The following is a 25591-nucleotide window of genomic DNA, read 5'->3' on the forward strand; positions in this document are numbered from 1 at the left end:
GCCACATCTTCTGATACATTAAAATCCATTGGCCACTTTGAATGGCTCTTTCACCCATGTGTGATTTTATAATGTCTTGCATTGTTCATTTGGAAATTATTAGTTAATTGAGTTATGCAAATTTTCTAAATGTTGCCACATTTCATTATATAATATAAAAAAATCACATTTGTTAATAGCGCATCATCACTGGGCTCATCAAAAAAGTCTTCTAGAACTAGGAAGCTATCAAGCTCAAGGTGTCCAACAGAAGTTTCCCAAAATTGTAATTTTTATTGAAAAACTTGAATTTTATTATTGGCAACAAATACTGTTATTTTCCTTAACATGACAGGCTCACTTTGTTCATTAAAACACAAAACCAAACCAAACCAAAAACTGACAAATACCTGAGTCTGAAACAGTTTGTCAGTCAAGTATAATTGGTGTTCCATGAAAAACAGAGGGCAGTTCAGCTCACAACTCAAACAGTATTTGATTAGAACAAATGGCAATGACATACTGTTCAAGCTAATAGACAAGTGCATTTCCTTGAGACAATTGTCATATTTCAGGATGCAGCACAAACTTCTATGCATATTTCCCATCTTGCCACATAAAATATTAAAATGATGTATACAAGAGTCAATTAATATTGTTACTGCTTCATCCAGGACTTTTTAGGTGAAACTGGCTTTTATTCTTTTTCTTTCTGCAAGTAGACAGTGGTGAAGAATACAATGATTACTAGTTCATTTTGTTGCTGCTGCCTTGATTTGTTTTAAGGCACCATTAGTTATACCCATTGCTTTTGTACCATCATTTCAAATGTAAACACAATTGTTTCAGGATAAATGATGAGATTCGAAAAGTTATTGTACATTTTGAATGTTTCAGCATTCCTTGTGTTTGTTGTCATGCATTAAAATAAAACACCTTTGATGACTGGCCGGTGCTGGAAATGAATATAACCGAAATAGCAAGTCCAGACAGTCCATAGATCTATCCATTTCTAAGGCAAAAGTGCAATTTTGCAGACAAAACCAGTTTGCAGTTAAGTCTTTAATTCAGTGAGCTGCTGCATTGTTGCAAAGTGGCAGTGCTGTGATTTCTTTTGCTGACTTTTCATCTAGAAAATATTCAGCAAAATAAACTCTACCAGGCTTTATTGGTCTTTCACCTATGATGTTCATTTCTTCAGCCAAAGCAGTACAATAACTTATCCTGTAAGATACTGGCTTTTTCATCTCAAGTTTGAAAAGCTGTTCCAAATTGTCTTTGGCTTTTCAAAAGTTCATTACATCTACACTTAAAAATCCAATTCTGGCCGGGCACGGTGGCTCACGCCTGTAATCTCAGCACTTTGGGAGGCTGAGGAGTGGGGGATCATGAGATCAGGAGATTGAGACCATCCTGGCTGACACGGTGAAACCCCGTCTCTATTAAAAATACAAAAAATTAGCCGGGCGTGGTGGCGGGCACCTGTAGTCCCAGCTACTCGGGAGGCTAAGGCAGGAGAATGGCGTGAACCCGGGAGGCGGAGCTTGTGGTGATCCAAGATCGTGCCACTGCAGTCCAGCCTGGGTGACAGAGCGAGACTCTGTCTCAAAAAAAGAAAAAAAAAATCCAATTCCTTTTTTTTTTTTTTTTTGAGACAAGGTCTTGCTCTGTCACCCAGGCTGGAGTGCAGTTGTATGATCATAGCCTACTGCAGCCTTGACTTCTTGGGCTCAAGTGATCCTCCCACTTCGGCCTCCCAAGTAGCTGGGACCACAGGCATGTGCCACCATGCCCAGCTAATTTTTAAATTTTTTATTTTATGTAGAGATGGGGTCTCATTATATTGCCCAGACTGGTCTTGAACTTCTGGGCTCAAGCAATACTTCCTGCCATGGCCTCCCAAATTGCTGGGATTACAGGCGTGAGCCACTGCACCCAGCCCAGCCCTCAATTCCTTTTTTGAAACTCTGGATTATTGGTCTCAAGATAGTGTTACAATGTTAATTGACACCATAAAACTAAAAAATGTTCTATTGCATAAGATACAATAAGGTAAATTATTAACATTTATAAAGCCTGGGGAAAGATAGCGTTCTCATATTTTTATTTCTTCTTTACAGTTTCTTCCAGTAGCTTTGGATTAGATTTCTCCCCTCTATGAGTTGTCACAGAACTCTCTGATGTATCATTTCATCTTTTTCAGTATCTTTAGATGTAGACAGTACCTCTGAGCCTGGAGTAAATGAATCCTCTAATCTCGTTTTTTAAAGCAAAAGATGAGGCTTCAGAGTCAGTTAGATGAAGATTTCAATCTCTTCTTTGCTTTCGATGGAGCAGTGTAACTGGACAAATTCTCAAGGCCCCATATTTCGTATACAGTTTTTGTGCATCAGAAATCTCTTGAGTGTTTTTGAGGGTTCTGGTTCAAAGTGTCTCGTAAGACTATAGTCAAGATGTTGGCCAGAGCTGCAGTCATCTGAAGGCCCGATGTGCAGCTGGAGAATCTACTTTCAAAGTAGCTCACTCACATGGCGGGCATATTGGTGCTGGCTGTTGGCCTCAGTTGACTTTTCCAGACAGTGTCCTCGTAACATGGTGGCTGTCTCCCACAGCATGAGTGTTCAACCATATTTGATTAGAACAATGGCAGCATCCTATCATTCGACTTAATAGATCAAACTGAATTTGTATTTCAACATTTACATAAAGCAAAGTACATTTAAATTTTTTTGTAGCGATATTAACTGTTTTTGATGTGTATGGGAGGGCTTCTGGGCATTGGGGGTTGTGGTCTTGTCAAACAGTACTATTGCTTTGGCATTGCACAGAAAACTTCGTTTTGAAACATTAGTCTTTTGTTGACCATCTTGGTCTAGATTAAGTTCTCCAGAGGCCATGAATTTGTGGCTTGAATTTTCATATCTCATGTAAAATGGGAAGATAATTAATTAAAACAGGAGGATAATTAATTTTGTAAAAAATTACTTTCTACGGATTTATTTGAATGGGCATTTAAATCCTTTATTATACATAAAATATTGGTGGGTAGAAAACAAAATTCAAATAGATTTTATTGAGAAACTCTAATGTATTAGGGTTCTCCAGAGAAACAGAACCAATAGGGTACATATAAATATGTAGAAAGAGATTTATTATGAAGGATTGGCTCACACAATTATGCAGGCCAACAAGTCCCACCATCTGCCATCCATAAGCTGAAGAACCAGAAGAGCTGGTGATGCAGTTCTAGGTCAAGCCTGAAGGCCTGAGAACCAGGTGAGCTGGTGGTGTAAGTCCTAGTCAGAGTCTGAAGGCCCAAGAACCAGGAGTGCTGATGTCTAAGGGTAGGAAAGGATGGATGTCCCAGCTCAAGAAGATAGCTTCAGGCTTTTTGTTCTATTCTGGCCCTCAGTGGATTGCAGAATGCCTGCCCGCATTGGCGAAGGGGGATCTTACTTTACTCTGTCTACTGATTCAAATGCAAATATCTGCCAGAAACACTCTCACAGACATACCCCAAAATGATGTTGTACCAGCTGCCTGGGCATGCCTTAATCCAGTCGAATTGACACATCAAATTAACCATCACACTCAACATCTTATTTGGAGCATCTTTTAAATGATTTTGGTTTCCAAGGAATTGCAATTACTGAAGTCTTGTGTTTTCCACAGATAAACCAAGGGATTTGTTTTCTTTTTTATTTTTTAAAGTTATCAAAAAGTTGGAGGGAGAGGCAGCAAGAAGTTTTAGGGAAATACACTTGTGAGAAACAAGGAAATACAGTCATGCATTGCTTAACGATGCTACATTCTGAGAAATGTGTCGTTAAGTGATTTTGTCGTTGTTTGAACATTATGGAATGCACTTGCACAAACCTAGATAGTCTAGCCTGCTAGTCACCTAGGCTCTGTGGTATAGTCTATTGCTCCTGGTCTATAAACCTGCACAGCATGTTACTGTACTGAATACTGTAGGCAACTGTAACACAGAGGTATTTGTCTATCTAAACATATGGAAACATAGAAAAGAAACAGTAAAAATATGGTATTACAGTCTTACAGGACCACCATTGTACATGGAGTTCATTATTGACTTAAACATCATTTTGTGGGGTATGGCTGTATTTACTTTGGACCTACCCCCACCAGGGTCTTATGCCACCTACTAATACTGAGTAACAATCCAAACTCATCGTGTCCCCCCCTTCGTCCTAAAACCCAAACATTCTGCTCTGTGATCCCTTGTGATCTGGAGCTGGTGGCCCTGTTCACCTGGTCGTGGCTCCAAGCCATGGCCTGACTGGGGACCCTTTCATTTCTCCCCCCCTCCAAAAGAGCGAGACCTGTGGGTTCTGCCCTAGCAATGCTGCCCAGCTCTGCTTTCTGTCAATTTACTTTCTCCTTTCCCACTGTATCTGCCCCAGTGCCCAGTCATTTCTCTCCTGGGCTACTGCAGTGGATCCTAATGGCCTCTGGGCTCCTCATCTTCTCTCAACTGCTTGCAGATTAATTTTGCCTACCTAAAATTCATGTTTTCTCAATGTTTATTAAATAAAATTCCAGTGTCTCAGCTGCTGGAGGTGCTCCACCCAAAGGCACCAAGTTATCTTTTATATTTAATGCCATCTTCTCCTCTTGACAATCGTAAAAGGGGACTATACACTCTAATATGAACCCTCTCCTTAATTCTTTGCTCTTGTTCTTTCTGTAAATGCTGTGGGCCCCAATCCCACCCATCCTTTAGGACCTATCTTAAATGCCACCACCCCTGCAAAGATTTTCCTCCTGACCTCCTTTTTCCTCTACCAGACCTGTTGTTTCTCCTTTTAGGTGGCTCACTGAACTTTGTATCCCTCGTGTTATTTAATCATAATCGGTTTATTTAAACATAGCATGTGTGTACTTAACCTTATCATTCCCGCATTTTTTGCTAGTTGGACTTGAACAAATAGTTGTATAAATCCATTGGAAAAAAGTATTCAAGATAGGAAAGGCCAAAATTACTGTGTTAGTTTATCAGATAGTGTAAAGCTATGCAGAATTTTAAAAGTTATATCTACATATACTACAGCACCTACATGTTTGTGTATTATTTTGCTAAGATGGCTTTGTTCTAGTATTGAAGGATACAGAAGTGTGGCATTACTTTTTATTCATGGCTGCACCTAAAACATTATTTGCGTCCCAGCAGATAATTTGAGAACATAAAAATGCTCCAACATCTCTTTCAGTTCGGGATGTTGCCTAAAACCGTCGACAAACGCTATGTTTGAGAAGGGAGGCTACGCTGGGGCGCCGGAGGAGACAGGCCCTTAAGAACCTTCCAGAGATGCCTTAACTGGGCTAACAGCTCGCCGCGCCGGGGCAGGCAGAGGGGTGCGGGGCGCGCTCCTTCCAGGACTTGCCAGTCCCCAAGAACCAGGCCAACCGGTTCCCTCCACTGACTCCCGCCTCCCTCTGCAGGCCCAGCCCTGCGCCGCGCGCCCTCTCCCCGGGCGCCCAGGCCCGGCGGGGGCCTAGAGGGCAGGGATGGCCCGGGCGAGGGACGGGGTCCCGGAGGCGGGAGGCGGGAGGCGGGAGGCGGGAAGCGGGAGGCTGGAAGCCGCGCGCTGTCGGGGTTTCCCGGTGAAGGGCAGGCAAACAACCGGTCGGTCTGGGCGGAGCCGGGCGGGCGGGGCGAGGGCGGAGGGCGGAGGGCGCATTGCCTCATCCTGTACATTTTACTGGAAATCGGACGCATCCGGAGGAGGGGCTGGGAGGCGGCCCGGGCACCGCCAATGGCCGGGCCGGGCGCCGGGGAGGTCGGCGAGCGCTGCGGCCCGTTAAATACCCTGGCAGTCCCGCGCCGCGCCCGTACTGGCCCGCGCCGTCCGCCCGCCGACAGCTCCCTGAGCCAGCCCGGGAGGCAGCCGCGCGCAGCGAGCCGGTGGCGCAGGTGTCGGGGTCCTCGAGCGCCCAGCCTGGGAGCATGATTGTGGACAAGCTGCTGGACGACAGCCGCGGCGGAGAGGGGCTGCGGGACGCGGCGGGCGGCTGCGGCCTCATGACCAGCCCGCTCAACCTGAGCTACTTCTACGGCGCGTCGCCGCCCGCCGCCGCCCCGGGCGCCTGCGACGCCAGCTGCTCGGTCTTGGGCCCCTCGGCGCCCGGCTCGCCCGGCTCCGACTCCTCCGACTTCTCCTCTGCCTCGTCGGTGTCCTCCTGCGGCGCCGTGGAGTCCCGGTCGAGAGGCGGCGCCCGCGCCGAGCGCCAGCCAGGTACCCGCCGGCCCCGCACCGCTGCGTACTCGGGGCGCGCACGCCTAGGAGGTTGGGAGCGGGACTCCCCAGATGGAGGGTGGCCCCTGCGCCCTCCTTAGAGCTAGGACGTACGCACCTTAGCCATCAATTACCACTCCCCGCCTTGCCCGGGCCGGGCGCCTGCCTGACCTACACGCCCTTCGCCGGCCCGCGGAACCGGCTCCCTCCCGCGGGCCTCGGGGGGGCTTCAGAAACCGCTCGGCCGAGCTCTGACTGCCGGGCGAGTGACCAGGAGATCGCTCGCTCTCTAAGAAGCAGCTTTGTTGAGTCATAATTAATAAACTATGATGAGATTTGGGGTCTGATGTAGGTGTAATTTTCTTCTTGTGAATATTTTAGTGGAAAGCTGTAGCAGAGGATAAGGGTTTGGGAATAGCGTTAAAGGTCATGACTTATTTCTCAGTTTTTATGGAATTTTTCAGTAAAAAGACTTGACCGTCAAAGAAAAGGAAACTGCTGTTATCAAGGTGAAGCCGGGCTGAAAACCAACTCAAGTTATGCCTTTAGTTTGGCGAGTTTCGGAAGTCTGCCCGGAATTTTTGCGGTCTTGTTTTTGTTGTGTGTGCCTTAAAAAAAATGGATAAGCCATATCTAGCAGAGAAAGACGTAATGTTATCTTTCATGGGCTGCGAATTGGTTTCCTTTCTTAGTGAACCGAGTTGCATAATTTGGGGGAAAACAGGATGCCCCTGTGGGTAGGCTAGAAAAACGCCTCGATAATTGAACGTTGAGAGTAATTAGCATGATTTTAAAGAACGTCTCTTTCCGGTGTTTCCCACTCTTAGCCACTCCTGTTTTGGTTGTCATTTATTTTAAAAAGTGATATCTCATTTTCATTTTAAGTCATTTAAAATCATGCGAAAAGCGATTTAAACCACTGCGTAGCAGATCCAGAAAGAATATGTGTTTAGGACCTTTTCTTACCCACTTGGCCTTCATCTGGCTGAAACTGTTCTGCTGGTCCCTTGGTTTACCACACAGCCACAGGGGATTTCTGAAACTGCATTTTTTTCTTTCTGTGACGTTGGATTATGAACTGCTGTCATTCCAGAAAAATGCTGTGTTAGATTCTGGCAATTCTGGTATCTCTTGAAATCCCTAAACTTAAAAATAAAGCCAACTAATGTTTCACTTACCCTATCATTGAACTGTTTATCTCATGTATTTATGATAGATACAGATGTTCAAATTATGCGTTGTTTCTTGCCCCATCTTATTTTTGTACACTTGATGGAGCGGCTGAATTATTCATTTCCTGACTTTGTGAATTTGTGTTCAACACACATACTAAGAGGTTGTGACATAATAGTGATCAGAAGTGGAGTACTGTACTTGTATACCAAATGCTAAAGTGTATTTCAAAGTTTAAAAGTGAAACAAGCATATTTCCTTTTTACTTAGAAGACCTGTGTAAGTAATTCCAAAAACAGTCAATGAGGGGAAATCCTGTGTGCATATGTAGAAATGTGTTTAAGCTCAGTGAATTTAAGCAGCTTTTTTGGCACAGTTGAATTGAAGGAAATAATAAGACATAAATCTAAGACGTTGTTAATTGTCAGGTTTTCGTACATAGAGATCTTTGAAAGAAGTTGTTTTGTGCCTTCTTAGGTAAGCGGAATTGATAGACTTTAAAATTTCTATGTGAACATAAAACCATTGGTTTAAAAAGCTAAAAGTGCATCATTTATCACTTGCTCCCCAAAGTTTTTCCAAAGTCAAGAATAATTATAGAACTATGAGAGTCAGGATGGCAAAATCTGTCATCCATTCTCATGGGTGGTTAGGGCTGAGAAAAAAATGTGATCCACTCTCATGGGTGGTTAGAGCTGAGAGATAGAGAGGCTTAATTTGGGTTTACCTATTGGCTCTGAGGATCCTTGACCAAATTTTTATGAACTTTAATTTCTTAGGGTACCCAGTGGAGAAAGGTATCAGGCAACTTAGGACCTTTGAGCAGAGCTCGGGACTCACAAGGCCATTGATTGACCAGAGCAAGTTGGAAAGGTTTTGCAATGTGCTGCTTGGGGACTTTATACATTAGGCAACAGCTATACTTTTGGGATTATTAACGTTTATGTCTGTGAAGATATTTAACCAGGAATATGTTTTGTTTTCTTTTGAACAGTTGAGCCCCATATGGGGGTTGGCAGGCAGCAGAGAGGCCCCTTTCAAGGTGTTCGGGTAAAGAACTCAGTGAAGGAACTCCTGTTGCACATCCGAAGTCATAAACAGAAGGCTTCTGGCCAAGCTGTGGATGATTTTAAGGTGACATCTATTTTTCTGTTTTGAGTATAGAGTTGGGGAGAGGGGTTAGTCTGTCAGGGTTATTATGATGACCTAGGTCCAGTCATCAAGTAAGTCACTTGAAATTTTTCATAAGATGACAAAGTCCATAGGACAGAGACCATATTTGTCTGGTCTGTTGTATCCTCCTTAGCCCAGTGCCAGACACCTGGTAGGTGGGCAAGAGAAACTCAATGAATAAATAAATGAAGGCAAGTTCAGAGGCTCAACTGAAATGGAACATTTTAACTAGAAAGGGAAAAATCAAATGGTCTTATTAATTTCATCTTGACCTGCGTTGAGCTAAGGTGAAAGTGAAAATGAGGAAGTCGCAAGATAGAATAAAAATTGATATAGAAAATCAATATTGATAGAAAAACCATATCAGAGATTTATGGTAAGCTATAAAGGGTGGTAGAGATAAGCCTACTTACTGATGTATATTAAGAGGAAGTCATTTTGTATACACTAAATTGGAAACTTTTTTCTTTATAGACACAAGGTGTGAACATAGAACAGTTCAGAGGTAAGAGTTACTTGTATTTGTAATTTTTTCAGGGCTTTGGAGTAAATAATAGAGTGTAATTATGGGTAACATTTATAAAATAAAATGATGACAGAGGCTGTATTCCTTTGGGTACAGAATTGAAGAACACAGTATCATACAGTGGGAAAAGGAAAGGGCCCGATTCGTTGTCTGATGGACCTGCTTGCAAAAGGCCAGCTCTGTTGCATTCCCAATTTTTGGTAAGTATCTCACCATTTTCCTCTGACTATCCTTTGGAAATTATTCCTGGGATAATTTTAGAAGGAAGTGAGTGTGCAAGTTGCATTTTCCTTCTTTCCAGACACCACCTCAAACACCAACGCCCGGGGAGAGCATGGAAGATGTTCATCTCAATGAACCCAAACAGGAGAGCAGTGCTGATCTGCTTCAGAACATTATCAACATTAAGAATGAATGCAGCCCCGTTTCCCTGAACACAGTTCAAGTTAGCTGGCTGAACCCCGTGGTGGTCCCTCAGAGCTCCCCCGCAGAGCAGTGTCAGGACTTCCATGGAGGGCAGGTCTTTTCTCCACCTCAGAAATGCCAACCATTCCAAGTCAGGGGCTCCCAACAAATGATAGACCAGGCTTCCCTGTACCAGTATTCTCCACAGAACCAGCATGTAGAGCAGCAGCCACACTACACCCACAAACCAACTCTGGAATACAGTCCTTTTCCCATACCTCCCCAGTCCCCCGCTTATGAACCAAACCTCTTTGATGGTCCAGAATCACAGTTTTGCCCAAACCAAAGCTTAGTTTCCCTTCTTGGTGATCAAAGGGAATCTGAGAATATTGCTAATCCCATGCAGACTTCCTCCAGTGTTCAGCAGCAAAATGATGCTCACTTGCACAGCTTCAGCATGATGCCCAGCAGCGCCTGTGAGGCCATGGTGGGGCACGAGATGGCCTCTGACTCTTCAAACACTTCACTGCCATTCTCAAACATGGGAAATCCAATGAACACCACACAGTTAGGGAAATCACTTTTTCAGTGGCAGGTGGAGCAGGAAGAAAGCAAATTGGCAAATATTTCCCAAGACCAGTTTCTTTCAAAGGATGCAGATGGTGACACGTGAGTATTCTTTTATCTCATGTTCTTAATTAGGTAAGCCACACTTGTTGGACTAGTGAGCATATAATTTTTCTAGGGTATAACAAGGTATACCTTAGTTAGTGGTTGGCTAACCAAGATGACTGGTGTAGATAGAAACCGCCACTCAGTGATAGCTAGTATGTCAAGAAAGGGTTTTCCTTCAAAAAATTTTTTGGCTGAACAGATAATCTGTTCTAAATTGATAAAAATATCTGTATCTTCTTGATTAATTGAGTTTGGAAGACCAGCGTAGACTATGTCTATAGAACAGAAACAGTTAGATCATGATTAGGGATAAACTGTGAGTTGGTTTGTAGATTGATCTTAATCTGTCCTGATGTCTTTGTGGCCTTGGGCAAGTTATTTAACCTCCTTAGGTCTCAGTTCCTTGACGTGTAAAATGATAATACCTCTTGTATAGGGGTTTTATGAGTATTAAAAATAATAGATTTAAGTTGATCAGTATGGTGCTTGACATTCTTCTTTTTCTTATTTCTGATAGCCTAACCCATCCTGTTCCAACTGGGGTGTATTATCAATGTAGCAGAAAAGACAAATTATGCTTTGTAATGTTTCATTTGAGTGTACCAATATATAAAAAGGGGGCTAAAGGAAGATTTTTTTTTTTTTTTCAAAAGAACAACTTAGTGAAATCAGAAGTGATTCACCCGCTTTCCTTTCCATGTTCCCCAGGTTCCTTCATATTGCTGTTGCCCAAGGGAGAAGGGCACTTTCCTATGTTCTTGCAAGAAAGATGAATGCACTTCACATGCTGGATATTAAAGAGCACAATGGACAGGTGAGGACCTTGACAGAGTCTGAAATGGCAAAGAGGGGGTCATGGTGAAGTGAATGATGACCAGCCTTATGTGTAGATCATCTTAGAGCTCAAGATCAAGAGAGTTTAGTTAATATTAACTTTGAGATGTTGACTTTTTGCTACCATCAACCTTGAAGTTATTAATGTTAACTTTGTAGCTGTTTGACCAAACACTGAGAGTAATAAAGCCACACCCTAGGCTTACTTTAGTTTCCTTGTCTTACAGTATCTGATTGCTTATTCAAAGGATTTATTTTCTCTCTGTGGGTTTTTCCCTCAGTCATAGTTTAGTTTCATATTCCTTGTTATGATAACATTGTATGTTTAAAATATCTTTTTTCCTCTGGATATCCACAGAGTGCCTTTCAGGTGGCAGTGGCTGCCAATCAGCATCTCATTGTGCAGGATCTGGTGAACATCGGGGCACAGGTGAACACCACAGACTGCTGGGGAAGAACACCTCTGCATGTGTGTGCTGAGAAGGGCCACTCCCAGGTGCTTCAGGTAAGAGGCAGCAAACCAGGCTTCCATCATTGCAAGGCCAGAGAGATAGAGTTGGATATTAGAAGTCGGATATAGGTTGCCTGTTGCAATGATCTATTTTGAGTTAACTTATTCATTTCTTGGGGATTCTAATAGGTATATGCGCAGCTTATGTAGCTAACAGATGTCTGTTTTTAAAATCTGCAGGCGATTCAGAAGGGAGCAGTGGGAAGTAATCAGTTTGTGGATCTTGAGGCAACTAACTATGATGGTAAGCAACTGAAACTTTATTAGATTCAGAGCCACTTAGGGGGAACCATAAGGTCTAAGGGTGCTAAGTATACTAAGAAGGAAGGTAATTAAAGCTAAAATATTCTGTAGGTAAAATTAGACCCAAAAAGAGACAATATTCAGATTGCCTTACTAGTTCTTGTGGAGCCCATTTATAGGTTAAGTTAGAGGCCATCCTCAGCATTTGTCATTATAGAAGGACCAAAAGACCTGATGGGATGCTTGACCACTGCTTGATTATACTTTTCTTCTAGGCCTGACTCCCCTTCACTGTGCAGTCATAGCCCACAATGCTGTGGTCCATGAACTCCAGAGAAATCAACAGCCTCATTCACCTGAAGTTCAGGAGCTTTTACTGAAGAATAAGAGTCTGGTTGATACCATTAAGTGCCTAATTCAAATGGGAGCAGCGGTGGAAGCGAAGGTAAATTCACAGAAAAGGTTTAAGATGGGGTAGGGGAGAAACTGGTTATATAGCAAAAGACCTTGCTTCCAAGTACAGATTCAAACTTCTTTCTTTTTTTTCTGAAATTAATGGTGTGAGTAGCAATGTATGGGTGGTTAAGAAGCCCAGAATTTTTTTTTTTTTTGAGACAGAGTCTCACTGTGTCGCCCAGGCTGGAATGCAGTGGTGCGATCTTGGCTCACTGCAACCTCCGACTCCCTGGTTCAAGCGATTCTCCTGCCTCAGCCTGCCCAGTAGCTGGGACTACAGGTGCCTACCACCACACCCAGCTAATTTTTTGTATTTTTAGTAGAGACGGGGTTTCACCATGTTAGCCAGGATGGTCTCGATCTCCTGACCTCGTGATCTGCCCGCCTCGGCCTCCCGAAGTGCTGGGATTACAGGCGTGAGCCACCGCGCCCGGCCAAGAAGCCCAGATTTTAACAGATCATTTCATGTGTTTTCTTGATTTGCTTTAAATCCATGAATTATTATCCAAAAGGTCATTTAGGTATAAAATAAATAGTCTTTGAAAGGTAAAGAAAATGCTTGAAATTGATATTGTCATTTTGGCTTCCATTTTCATACACTGAGAATAAAGGTGCTTTTTGTAAGGATTTCTTCATTGTTGTAGGATGTGGAATTCATCTTCTGGTTTTTAAGCTGGAAAATAGTTTATTCTTTTAAAATTTTGGTTTTATTCACTGAGTATATGGGGGAAAAATGCCTAAGTCATAAACCATTTGGACCCTTGAGGCTTACTGACTAGTAAAATAGGTGAGAGATATAGCTAAATATAACTCTACAGGGAGGCTACCAAATCTGGAAATGTAGGTGAATACATAATAAATGGTTTACTGATAGGTTATGACATAGGATTTAAAAATATTTATTTTTCTACATTTTATGGCCACCCTGTATAAAAAGGTACATTGTGACAAGAGGCATATAGACAAATTAATAGGAAATTTAAGAGGAATAAAAGATTCCATTTAGCTTGGGATTAAGCAAGGCATTTTGGAGAAGGGAGCATTCAAAGTGAGTCTCTGAAGCTGAATCAGACATTCAGGAGACTGGGTGAAAAGTGTATTCTGAGGCATAGTATCTGGATTTTTTTTTTTTTTTTTCCTCCCTCTTGCCTTTGACAAGGATCGCAAAAGTGGCCGCACAGCCCTGCATTTGGCAGCTGAAGAAGCAAATCTGGAACTCATTCGCCTCTTTTTGGAGCTGCCCAGTTGCCTGTCTTTTGTGAATGCAAAGGTACACCAGAGTTGGAATGGCCTTCTGTACACCCTCTCAAAGTTTTTGAGCTCCTTTCATGAAATTTCCCCCTTCCTGATGTCTGATAATTCATTTCTTTGTCTTCAGGCTTACAATGGCAACACTGCCCTCCATGTTGCTGCCAGCTTGCAGTATCGGTTGACACAATTAGATGCTGTCCGCCTGTTGATGAGGAAGGGAGCAGACCCAAGTACTCGGAACTTGGAGAACGAACAGCCAGTGCATTTGGTTCCCGATGGCCCTGTGGGAGAACAGGTGAGAGGCACAGGAGGGAGAGGAAGTATTTTTTGGCACTGCAGTCTGAAACAGAAAGGGAGATGAGGCTGTGCAGGGCGAAGGCCAGCTGTTGCTCTTCAGGTGGACTCTATCAGTGTCTGTGTCTCACGGTAGCTGTCATAGCATTGTGGAGTTACTCTTCGTTTGGAAACAGCAATTAAGAAATTTGAGGGATTATCCATAGACTCAAAATGGTTAGAGGTCAGGTAGTATTCTGTGACACACACTTAGGGTTAGAGTAAGTCAGAATGGTTTAAGGTTCGGAAAGAGAAGATACCAAGGTTCCTGCAGATACCAAGGAAAGAGAATCTTAGTCTTGTAATGTATGAGCCTTCAAATATTGTGGATATTAAATGAGTTGTTACATGTGGAGTGCTCACAATAGTCCCGGGTACAGAGTAAGAGATCAGTGAACATCAATAGTTAGAATTATTTCTGTCTATGAAGTGATACTGAACAAAAAATGGAAAAATTACTTATGTAATTTCAAACCTAGAAATATTTTGTTTTAAACAGCATATTTAATGCTTTACTCATCAAATATGGTTATATATTATCATTGAGTATTGAATAGTTTCATGAGTAAACTTTTTAGATAACAAGAACTTATTCTTTCAAGAACTTAAAATGTTTTTGATGGAACTCTTTTCCTGGGAGGAATGAGGGGGATTGTGGCTGTGGGTAGGTCATTACATACTTTACTAATCACAAAATAAAATACGTGGAATGCAGTTTAGCTTTTTCTTTGATTCTGAGCTGTCATTATGACCATAATGTTATAGTAGCCCCTATTTATAGAGCTCTTTGTAATTTAGAAAGAATATTTCTATAGTTTGTAAAAAGTTTTCATGTATATCATTTAATAGTTAGAAGAACTTTACAAGTTTCAAGTTTCAACTGAGAAAATTGATATTCAGAGAGGTTCCAAGGACCAGAACCATCATTAACTTGTAAAAGGCAGAGTCCTAAGCCCAGTATTTGCTTCTACTTCACTGTTTGTGGTGTGCAGTCATATAACTATGCTCTCAGGGATCATTGAGATATTAAGCCATTTAACTCTTCATTAAATGTTCCCAGATTATCTCCTTTTTGCTTTGGTATTTTGTGTGTGTTGGGCAGGTAGAGGCTCTTTTCCCTGGCTTTTATTGTCATACTGTGGTCGTGTGTTTCCTTCTAGCAGCTATCAGTTGTATCCCCTACCCCAATCGCCTTTCATCTAAATTGTTGCTTCTAATCTGCTGGAGGCTGAGAGATAGAAAATAAAATTTGTCAGACTGGGATGTAAAATGAATCACTCTGAATGAGCCGGGATCTTTTCTGTGATCCATGAAGTTACGTGTAGATGCTTTAATACTTGGATATCATGACAGCTGTTTTGACTTGAATGGTATTAAGGATTTACTTGTGTGTGTATCATAAAATGTGGGTTTTCTGTTCCTGTTAGTTGAGGCTGACTTCAAGATAAGTGAGATATTATAATATGCCTTAATTACTGTCTTATGTTAAATGTTCTCACAAATAGCAAGAGTAAAGATTAGGAAAAGAATATAGGTGTTAAGTTTATGGAGATTTTCAACTTCAGATAATTTTTAGTGGAGATGTTTTACTTTCTTGAACTCAAAGATTATTATAAGAGATCTGAAATAAGTTTAAAAGGAGTTTAGTATTTTTAAAAGTCACCTCAAAATCTTGAGAAATATTGTGTGTATTTCTTCGTATACTTACAAGTTAATAGGAGTAGTGTAGATGGTATAAGAAAGGAATGAAACTCAGAAGGAAATACACCACATTGGCCATAAGAAATAAACCTCACAAATTTTATTTGTTTCTCTTCCAGATCCGACGTATCCTGAAGGGAAAGTCCATTCAGCAGAGAGCTCCACCGTATTAGCTCCATTAGCTTGGAGCCTGGCTAGCAACACTCACTGTCAGTTAGGCAGTCCTGATGTATCTGTACATAGACCATTTGCCTTATATTGGCAAATGTAAGTTGTTTCTATGAAACAAACATATTTAGTTCACTATTATATAGTGGGTTATATTAAAAGAAAAGAAGAAAAATATCTAATTTCTCTTGGCAGATTTGCATATTTCATACCCAGGTATCTGGGATCTAGACATCTGAATTTGATCTCAATGGTAACATTGCCTTCAATTAACAGTAGCTTTTGAGTAGGAAAGGACTTTGATTTGTGGCACAAAACATTATTAATATAGCTATTGACAGTTTCAAAGCAGGTAAATTGTAAATGTTTCTTTAAGAAAAAGCATGTGAAAGGAAAAAGGTAAATACAGCATTGAGGCTTCATTTGGCCTTAGTCCCTGGGAGTTACTGGCGTTGGACAGGCTTCAGTCATTGGACTAGATGAAAGGTGTCCATGGTTAGAATTTGATCTTTGCAAACTGTATATAATTGTTATTTTTGTCCTTAAAAATATTGTACATACTTGGTTGTTAACATGGTCATATTTGAAATGTATAAGTCCATAAAATAGAAAAGAACAAGTGAATTGTTGCTATTTAAAAAAATTTTACAATTCTTACTAAGGAGTTTTTATTGTGTAATCACTAAGTCTTTGTAGATAAAGCAGATGGGGAGTTACGGAGTTGTTCCTTTACTGGCTGAAAGATATATTCGAATTGTAAAGATGCTTTTTCTCATGCATTGAAATTATACATTATTTGTAGGGAATTGCATGCTTTTTTTTTTTTTTCTCCCGAGACAGGGTCTTGCTCTGGCGCCCAGGCTGGAGTACAGTGGCATGATCTTGGCTCACTTCAGCCTTGACTTGGGCTCAAGTGATCCTCCTACCTGAGCCTTCTGAGTAACTGGAACTACAGGTGTGCACTCCTCGCCTGGCTAATTTTTTATTTTTTGTACAGGCAGGATCTTGCCACCTTGCCCAGGCTGGTCTTGAACTCCTGAGCTCATGCCATCTGCCTGCCTTAGTCTCCCAAAATGCTGGGATTACAGGAGTGAGCCACCATGCCCGGCTGGCAGTTGCATGGAAGAGAACACCTCTTTATGGCTTACCCTCTAGAATTTCTAATTTATGTGTTCTGTTGAAATTTTTGTTTTTTTACCTTTATTGAAACAACAAAAAGTCAGTATTGAAACATATCTTCCTGTTTTCTGTTGTCAAATGATGATAATGTGCCATGATGTTTTATATATATCATTCAGAAAAAGTTTTATTTTTTAATAACATTCTATTAACATTATTTTGCTTGCCGCTGGCATGCCTGAGGAATGTATTTGGCTTTGATTACACACTAAGTTTTTGTAATAAATTTGACTCATTAAAAACCTTTTTTTTTTAAAAAAAAAAAAAAAGAAAATCTCATTAGTGAACTTATCTTTGCAGCTGAGTACTTAAATTCTTTTTAAAAAGATACCCTTTGGATTGATCACATTGTTTGACCCAGTATGTCTTGTAGACACGTTAGTTATAATCACCTTGTATCTCTAAATATGGTGTGATATGAACCAGTCCATTCACATTGGAAAAACTGATGGTTTTAAATAAACTAATTCACTAATATTATTTGTCTTACATGCATTTTCTTTTCCTAGTGCCTTATTTCCCTAGATAGAAAAAGTACTATTGATGATTTTAAATACCTTTGAGTTAGTTAATTTATGTTAATTTGGGTTTTTTGGAGAACATGTTTCCTGAAAGTATACAAGATTTAACATCAAAATCTATTTGCTAAGTTTACTAGGAGAAGTCTGTTAGGTTTTGAAATTATCATGGAAGTTTAATAGATGCTGTCGATCATTCACATGTTTAGATGCTTAAAAAAAAAAAAAAAAGCTAAGTGGGAGCAGTGAATCATAGGAATAACAGTTTGGAGATTACCAGGATCATCCTTAGAGAGATGTAAACCTGGGAAAGGTTCTTCCCTTTGCCAGCAAGCCATTTTGACGTGTGAGAACAAACACATCAATATCTGTCAGTATGTTGTTACAATTATTGCACATATATTCTAGTTCTTACAGCTGTTTTGAGAATCTGGTGAAAGCTATGAATCCTTTCCCTGGAAAATGCAAATATATGTATACACACAAATGCTGTGTGCAATATTTGGGGCTTCACAACCTTTAGAAGACCATGACTCACAAGAATCCACTTTAGTTTCATTTCTGCACATACTTTTCTTCTTTCGTATAACAAAATCTTGGGTAATTTGCTTTGCAAATGCAACTTGTTAACCAGAACAGCAGAAATGATGTACTCCCACTGAACATAGCCCTACAGTGAGCTTTACCCAAGTGAGCTTCTATGTTCTCTCTTAATCCCAAATTCTCTCATAGTTGAACCAGTATCTAGCAAGTATGTTTGTGTGTGCGTGTGTGTGTGTGCAAAGATGTAAATAATTTGAGGCTAAGACATATAAGACATTTCTTAGCCTTAAGATGTTTACGTGAGAGACATGGCATGTACTTTATTAGGTAAACTATGTTAAATAGCATTTAAAAAGAGATTCAGAAGGGACATTTCTTTCTGACTGGGGAGGATTCAAGGTAGAGCATTTGAACTGTATCTTCTGAATAGTTGATTTGGATGTTCATATAAAGGGAGGAGAGGCAGATGAAAGAAACAAACAGCATGAACCAAAGCATAGGCGTCTGTGGGAATAGCAGGTGATTTTAATATAGTTAGTTAGACTCTGGAAGTGGCCAATAAGGTTCATCTTGTGTTCCACCTCTGACTGGTAATATTTTTGAGTATCAAGTTGAGAAAGATCCTCAGGCTCGTAGGGGCTTCAGGAGAAGGTTGCTGGATTGAACCTTCAGGAGAGGTTGCTGTGATTGGTGCGTGATATCTGCCACAGGAATATGGGAAATGGCTCTTGATTGAATACATCTTAAAGCCTCACAGAAGCCAAGACTGTGTGCTCATTGCTGCAACTTCAGTGCCTAGCACAGTGCCTGGCACATGGAAATAGTTCATAAAATATTGGTTGAATGAACGAATATATGCCAATCCTGGTTAGAGTCACTGGTTTTGTTGGGGGAGGTGATGTTTTGAGCCAGAGTTATACTATTAATTACTAATGAATTATTGGCTATCATGGTTCTGAATTTAATTCTGCCACATGATTTCACAGTGACATGGATGATATGTTAATGAAAATGGGCATGGGCATAGTTGGACTCATTAAGGAAAAAAATCAGGCAGTCTGTCTTTGCAAAGGACTGTTAGTGCTGTAGTTTGATATTGACTAAGGAATCCCTACAAGAGTCAGAGACCAAATCTTCCAGCTCAATTTGTTAGTCAAATCAGTAACATTTAATATCCTTTCTATATTTTTACTTAATCAGGACAGGAAAATTTCCTCAAATGTCTCTGACTTTTAACAAATGTCAACTTAAACATACGACCACTAACTTCCATTTTCTGATAACCTCAGTTGTTCTGTATTGAATACGACCTCAGAGAGAAATCAGCTTCAGTCACTGGCTAAGTTTGTGATGGTTCCTCTGAGATCAGGCCTGGGTACAAGGTTTGAGATTACTTGTAACCATGCTACTAGGTTTTGGCTATACCTGCTGGTGCCCTGGATTAATCCTTGAGAGAAGGGGAGACACTGCCTTATTAGTCATCAGAGGCCCTGCACCTAGCACAGTATCTGACACATTGTAGACATTCAATAAATAGTTCCTAAGTTGAATTTAATTTCAACACTTTGTAAAAATTTTTTTTCTTGGCATATTTTATTCTTCAGTGTATAAATATTTTTATTATCTACATACAGTTTATGACTTAATCCAGTACTTTTATGCTTCAAGCCTTTGGAGTCTGTGCAGACCCAGAAACATTGCATGGGTGGCACATTTCTAGGAGGGGTAAGATTGGTTGTTTTTGTTTGTGTGTGTGTTTGTTTTTTTTGAGACGGAGTCTCGCTCTGTCGCCCAGGCTGGAGTCAGTGGCAAGATCTTGGCCCACTGCGGCCTCCACCTCCCAGGTTCAAGCAATTCTTGTGCCTCAGCCTCCTGAGTAGCTGAAATTACAGGCACGCACCACCACACCTGGCTAATGTTTTTGTATTTTTAATAGAGATGGGGTTTCACCATGTTGGCCAGGCTGGTCTCGAACTTCTGGTCTCAACTGATCTGCCCACCTCAGCCTCCCAAAGTGCTGGGATTACAGGCATGAGCCATCACGCCCAGCTGATTGTAGATTCCTCTCAAAATGTGTCTTGCTTTTTCCTTTGTACTCCTTGTCCTCTGGCCTGTTGTCCCTGCTCTCTCCATCACACCATTCCCCTTGCCTGTCAGCTCAAGAGGGTTTGGGGGTGAGATAGTGCAGCTGCTGAGTGCCCTAGGTTCAAAGTTTCAGTCTTTGGTCGACATTAGTATCTTATGTGAAGCTTGTTAAACATGCAAATACTTAGGCCCCACCCCAGGTTTCCTGAATCAGAATCTCCAGGATTTTCAGGGCTTCTGGCAGATTATATGTGGTGATTCTAATGCAGTTTTAGTCTAAATTAATTAGGAAATGCAGACTTTGGAGAGTAGCTGTGGTTGGGCAGTAGCCATATGGTGGTAACAGAATGGGTTTCTGGAATGCGTATGGGGATGAAGTGGCAACTGATGAAGATGTGCAGTGTGCCAGGCACGTTGGATCCTATGGTATAGAAACTAGCTTTGAAGATACAATCATGAGTCACCTTATTTTTTTTTCCTGCTTTCAGAAATCACTTTTCTAAGGTGATTCTGGTGTTTAAGTTTCTCAAGTATATTAGTTTCCTAGGACTGTCTAACAAATAACCACAAACTTGGTGGCTTAACTCGGAGAAATTCATTTTGTCATAGTTCTGGAGGCCAGAATTCTGAAACCAAGGTGTTGGCAGAACCATGTGCCCTCCAAAGGCTCTAGGTGGAATTCATGCCTTCTATTCCAGCTTCTAGTGACTCCAGGTGTTCCCTGCCTTGTGGCAATATAACTCCAGTGTCTGCTCCATCTCCACATGGCCTTCTCCTCCCTGTGCCTCCTCTCTGTATATCTCTTACAAGGACTCTTACCACTGAATTTAGGGGCCACCTGAGTAATCCAGGATGACCTCATCTCAATTTTATTTATTTATTTATTTTTGAGGGGGAGTGTGCAATGGTGCCATCTTGGCTCACTACAACCTCCACCTCCTGGATTCAAGTAGCCTCCCGAGTAGCTGGGATTACAGGCATGCACCACCACACCTGGCTACACACCTGGCTAATTTTGTATTTTTAATAGGGACGGGGTTTCACCATGTTGGTCAGGCTGGTCTCGAACTCCTGGCCTCAGATTATCCGCCCACTTTGGCCTCCCAAAGTGCTGGGATTACAGGTGTAAGCCACGGCACCTGACCTTTTTTTTTTTTTTTTTTTTTTGAGACGGAGTCTAACTCTGTCACCGAGGCTGGAGTACAGTGGCACGATCTCAGTTCACTGCAACCTCTGCCTCCCAGGTTCAAGCAATCCTCCTGCCTCAGCCTCCCAAGTTGCTGGGATTACAAGCGTGCTCCACCATGTCCAGCTAATTTTTGTATTTTTAGTAAAGACGAGGTTTCATCATTTTGGCCATGACGGTCTCGAACTCCTGACCTCAAGTGATCTGTCTGCCTCGGCCTCCCAAAGTTCTGGGATTATAGGCATGAGCCACCACGCCCGGCCTCAGTATTCTAAATTGTACAAAGACTTTTTTTCCAAATGAGGTCACATTCACAGGTTCTGAGGATTAGGATGTGGACATATCTTTGGGCAGCCTTAACTTAAAACTTACTACACCAGGAAAGAGGATTTATAATAATTTCTGTTATCATTATTTCTCTTAAAAAATGAGTAAGATTAATATTTCCTTTTTTAAAAAATCATTTTATCATGGTAAGAACATTCTATTTTCTTACGAAATTGTAAAGTGTACAATAATAGGGACAATGTTGTACAATAGATCTCTAGAACTTATGAATATTTCTTTCTGAGCAATCCTATAGCCTGTCTTCAGAATCTATGGTATCTTTTACATATTATTATTGATCTAATGTATGGTAAAATATCTCTATTTCATTTATTAGCTATAATACTAAACATTGACCAGGCAACTCATTTACCATTGATAAACTTTAAGAGAAACAAAAATATTTATTGAGCTGTAACTCAAAAATTATGATAATGATTAAAAGAGCTTTAAGTATCCTAAACTTCCAACAAAGCTTTTATAATTGTCTCTTGTCATTTTGCTCCCTGGTACACATGTGAATGAATCTGCTGCTCTTCACCTTGGATCACACTACCTAGAGCTGTGTGAGAAGCAACATGATCCCAAATCAAATTAAAATCCTATGCTTTACGGCATCTGATCTTGGAATGATAACAGTAGAGGAGTTAGTCACTGAAAACTGCAAATGTTTAAAAGTCAAGGGTCAAATCCAGTTTCATACAATAACAATTGATTCCACTTTGCTAAAACTCAATTGAAATAGACTGTTTTAACTCTAGATATTATCTTTTTAAGTGATAGGATTCTGGCTTTTGCTCCAGAAATAAAGATTTCAGCAGCTCTGGGAACTTGGTAGTTGGATCCAGCATGTGTTTACCTGTTGGATCAGCATAGTTCCTGTAGGCTTGACAATCGGGACAAATTTCAGATTGTGAAACAACACTAGATTCCTTAGCTTAATTGATCTGGGGTTTAAGTTTCAAATTACTATTTATTTTTATTAACTCAATTCATGGTATCTTAATTCACATGGCCTGCTCTCCCTATTTGCAGCCAAACATCTCTCAGGTAGTACTTTAATTTCAAGTGATTGTGTAAGACTGTAGGGTACTTCCTGATTGGCCTTCGTGGAAGCCCCAGGTGTCGACTGGTCTGGAGGCGAACTGCTATTTTCTTCCAGCACTCTAGGGTTAGTTTTGGTGTTTGCCTCAGTGGGAGTGTGTCCAGTGAGAGTCTGCTTTTCTGAATTGGTGCCAGAGGTGTTTTTTTTTTTACATTAGATATCATTTTTCTTTTGTCTTTAAAAAAGGTATCCTTTTCTTTTTGCTCCCAAGAAGTATTCCTTCCAGAATATTTTAAAATTTTCAAAAAATTCTCCTTTTTAGGCTCTCACAGATATGGAAGAATTGGTCGTCTTCAGGATAGCAATTTTGTCTGGTGTAACTTCTTACACCAGGAAATTCAAAATATATCATTTGGGATATATTTGAATATATCCCAATATATATTTTGAAAAATATATCAAAGGAAAATTCAAAATATATCATTTGGGAAAACAAGTAAGCATTTGGATGGTGCCTCTACTCAAAATATTCCTGGAAAATTTTTTTAAAGATAAATTTTTAGCCAGGTGTGGTGGCACATGCCTGTAGTGTCTGCTACTTGGAGGCTGAGGTGGGAGGACTGTTTGGGCCTCCAGTGTTCCGGGCTGCAGTGAGCCATCCATGATCCTGCCAATGTGGTGTAATAAGAAGATGTATAGACAGAAGTTTAATTTACACAGGTTATTAATTTCTATACACATTCTAATCATACAGGCTAATGAGGTACGTCATTTAAAGTGCAGGATTTATAGACAGCTGACAAGTTTTTCTTTTATGACATTATTCTATTTCCCTATCTATATAAATCAATCAGTTTTGTTTCTTCCCTCAGCTAAAGTTATATCAAATTTGTTATCAAGGTCAAAATGTCTATTAATCAGTTAATAGGGTAGCTAAAAAAAGTCTGTTAATTTTTTTTTTTTCTATTTTCTCCGCCACCACCCACATCTAGGTTTTCAAGGCTTTATTCTTGGATTACCACAATAGACAGGAACCTGACTTTTTATTACGGAAACATTCAAACACACATACAAGTAGGCAGAATAGTATATTGAACACATACATCTATCATGAAACTTCATCAATTATAAACATTTTGCCATTTTTGTTTCCTCTTGCCCCCATATTTTGTTCTAGAATAAGTTAAAGCCCACTCCAAGCATTATAGATTGTCAGTAAGAGTCGCTAACAGATAAGTAACTTGTGTCCCCAGTAAATAGCTTTCTAATTATTCTTCCTCCAATCTTCCTGCTTTTCTTACCAATCCCAAAATTTCCACTACTTGGCATACTGTTAAAGAAACAGAGAAAGTTTTTCAAAGGCTCAATGCTGCCTGTTGAATCAGATGCAAACTCTTGTCCTGGTTTACAAAGCTATGTTGACCTTAGCTTGACCCTGCCTGTCTAATCTCATCTCATTTTTCCCCAGTGGGCTATCAGGTGGGTCTCTTCACTGTATCAGCTGATGCTCTGTTTATTCCTGTCTCTTGTCAAGTCCTCACCTCCCCAAATTCTGTGCATCCTAGAAAGCCCTGCTTGGGTGCCACTTTCTCTATTAAGCTTTTTCCAGCTCTTACTGACTGCTCCTTTCCCTGACCTCCTGGGATTAAAACACAATTCCTCTAACTTTCATATCTGGTATTTTCTGTCATATTCCAGACTTAATTATTGCAATCAGGAAAGTGAGCTCTGAATCTGAATTTTCTCTTCCTTGCTTCCTTTTTTCCTTTCTTCCAACCCTTCTCTCTCCTCTCTCCTTCCTTCCTTCCTTCTCTTTCTTTCCTTTCTTTCTGCTCCCCTGTCCCCCTCCCCCTCCCCTTCTTCCCTCCCTCTCCCCTCCCCTCTCTTTGTCACACTCTATCATCCAGGCTGGAGTGCAGTGCATGATCATAGCTCACTGCAGCTTTGACCTCCCGGGGTCAAGTGATTCTCCCTCCTCAGCCTCCTGAGTAGCTGGGACTACAGGTGCACACTACCATGCCCGGCTAATTTATTCTTGTTGTAAAGATGGGGGTCTCACTATATTGCCCAGGCCAGACTCCTGGCCTCAACCAATGCTCCCTTTTCAGCCTCCCAAAGTGCTGAGATTACAGGTGTGTGCCACTGCAGCATTTACTTTTTAAATACAACTTTAAAATGTCTGGGTGAGTGGTATTTTTGAGGACACGAAGAAGGTGAGTGGTGCTGGATAGAATCTAGCATTGGAATCGTAGGCAGAATTCTAAGATGGTCCTAGGGCTATCTTTGCCTCAGATGTTACTCCTGTGATTCTGTTAGGTTACATTGCAAAAGTGATTTTGCAAAGGTAAATAAAGTAATTATTAACCAGCTGACCTTAAGATAGGGAAACTACTCATCTAATCACACGGGCCCTTTAAAAGCGGAGTGTTTTCTTTGGCTGGAGGCAGAAGAGGAAATCTTAGAGATTCCAAGCCTGAGAAGGACTCAACCCACAATTACTGGCTTTGAGGATGGAGCAAGGGGGCAATGAGCCAAGGAATACAGGTATTTTGTAAATATCCAAACAGAAAATGGAATCTCAGGCCTACATCCACAGGGAATTGACTTCTGCCAACAACCTGATTAAGCTTAGAAGCAGATTCTTGCTCAGAGCCTCCAGATAAGAGCCCAGCCCTGCTGACACCTTGAGTTTGGCGTTGTGTTACTTCATGCAGAGTCAAGCCAACCCCGCCCAGACTCTGACCTGCTGAACTGTGAGATAACACATGGGTGGTGTTCTGAGCTGCTAAATTTAGGGGTAATTTGTTACACAGCAATAGAAAGTTAATACAATATATAACACAGGGTTTGAGCTTATAGTGCAATTTTATGCATTTCCTGCTATTTTAATTAAGGCTCCAAATCAGCAAGAGAGGTTTTCCAATAAATGGGGGCACTGGTCTTAGGATGTGTGGTCATTACACAGGCTAGCAGTGTCTTTAGTTTATGATATCTCACTTTTGTCCAGCACTTCCCCATTCCAG

The 25591-nt window shown here is 41.0% G+C and overlaps 1 protein-coding gene across 2 annotated transcripts in view, besides 6 other annotated features; it reads left to right on the forward strand.

Moving 5' to 3' along the window:
- NFKBIZ (NFKB inhibitor zeta) overlaps positions 1-17341 on the forward strand; it is a 33033-nt gene extending 15692 nt beyond the window's left edge. Inside the window, exons 1-12 of one of the 2 annotated variants that reach the window (NM_031419.4) lie at positions 5833-6236; positions 8404-8543; positions 9057-9087; positions 9205-9308; positions 9410-10182; positions 10897-11002; positions 11381-11527; positions 11714-11777; positions 12052-12221; positions 13392-13502; positions 13611-13778; positions 15637-17341. In NM_031419.4, the coding sequence (NP_113607.1) occupies positions 5948-6236; positions 8404-8543; positions 9057-9087; positions 9205-9308; positions 9410-10182; positions 10897-11002; positions 11381-11527; positions 11714-11777; positions 12052-12221; positions 13392-13502; positions 13611-13778; positions 15637-15690 (2157 nt within the window). In that variant the 5' untranslated portion in view covers positions 5833-5947 and the 3' untranslated portion in view covers positions 15691-17341. Of the gene's footprint in view, positions 1-5832; positions 6237-8403; positions 8544-9056; positions 9088-9204; positions 9309-9409; positions 10183-10896; positions 11003-11380; positions 11528-11713; positions 11778-12051; positions 12222-13391; positions 13503-13610; positions 13779-15636 lie in introns of those variants that run through there. The other variant, NM_001005474.3, reaches the window with a different exon arrangement.
- Positions 3304-3433: an enhancer, noted in NCBI's record as "active region_20185". NCBI's record gives its function as "activates an Ori minimal core promoter by ATAC-STARR-seq in GM12878 lymphoblastoid cells {active_cell/tissue: GM12878}" and the evidence as "EXISTENCE:reporter gene assay evidence [ECO:0000049][PMID:35858748]".
- Positions 4892-5729: an enhancer, noted in NCBI's record as "H3K27ac hESC enhancer chr3:101567417-101568254 (GRCh37/hg19 assembly coordinates)". NCBI's record gives its function as "activates a minimal SCP1, AML or CMV promoter by ChIP-STARR-seq in naive H9 embryonic stem cells {active_cell/tissue: H9 hESC(naive)}" and the evidence as "EXISTENCE:reporter gene assay evidence [ECO:0000049][PMID:30033119]".
- Positions 4892-6511: a biological region, named in NCBI's record as "Sharpr-MPRA regulatory region 7874".
- Positions 5312-6511: a silencer, noted in NCBI's record as "silent region_14579". NCBI's record gives its function as "represses an Ori minimal core promoter by ATAC-STARR-seq in GM12878 lymphoblastoid cells {active_cell/tissue: GM12878}" and the evidence as "EXISTENCE:reporter gene assay evidence [ECO:0000049][PMID:35858748]".
- Positions 5524-5818: an enhancer, noted in NCBI's record as "tiled region #7874; HepG2 Activating DNase unmatched - State 1:Tss, and K562 Activating DNase unmatched - State 1:Tss". NCBI's record gives its function as "activates a minimal TATA promoter and a strong SV40 promoter by Sharpr-MPRA in HepG2 and K562 cells {active_cell/tissue: HepG2 | K562}" and the evidence as "EXISTENCE:reporter gene assay evidence [ECO:0000049][PMID:27701403]".
- Positions 5560-5731: a silencer, noted in NCBI's record as "fragment chr3:101568085-101568256 (GRCh37/hg19 assembly coordinates)". NCBI's record gives its function as "represses an EF-1alpha promoter that drives an FKBP-Casp9 reporter gene in an ReSE screen in K562 erythroleukemia cells {active_cell/tissue: K562}" and the evidence as "EXISTENCE:reporter gene assay evidence [ECO:0000049][PMID:32094911]".
- Positions 17342-25591: the final 8250 nt, after the last annotated feature.

The sequence above is a fragment of the Homo sapiens genome, chromosome 3, assembly GCF_000001405.40.
Source record: "Homo sapiens chromosome 3, GRCh38.p14 Primary Assembly".
NCBI classification, from domain to species: domain Eukaryota; kingdom Metazoa; phylum Chordata; class Mammalia; order Primates; family Hominidae; genus Homo; species Homo sapiens.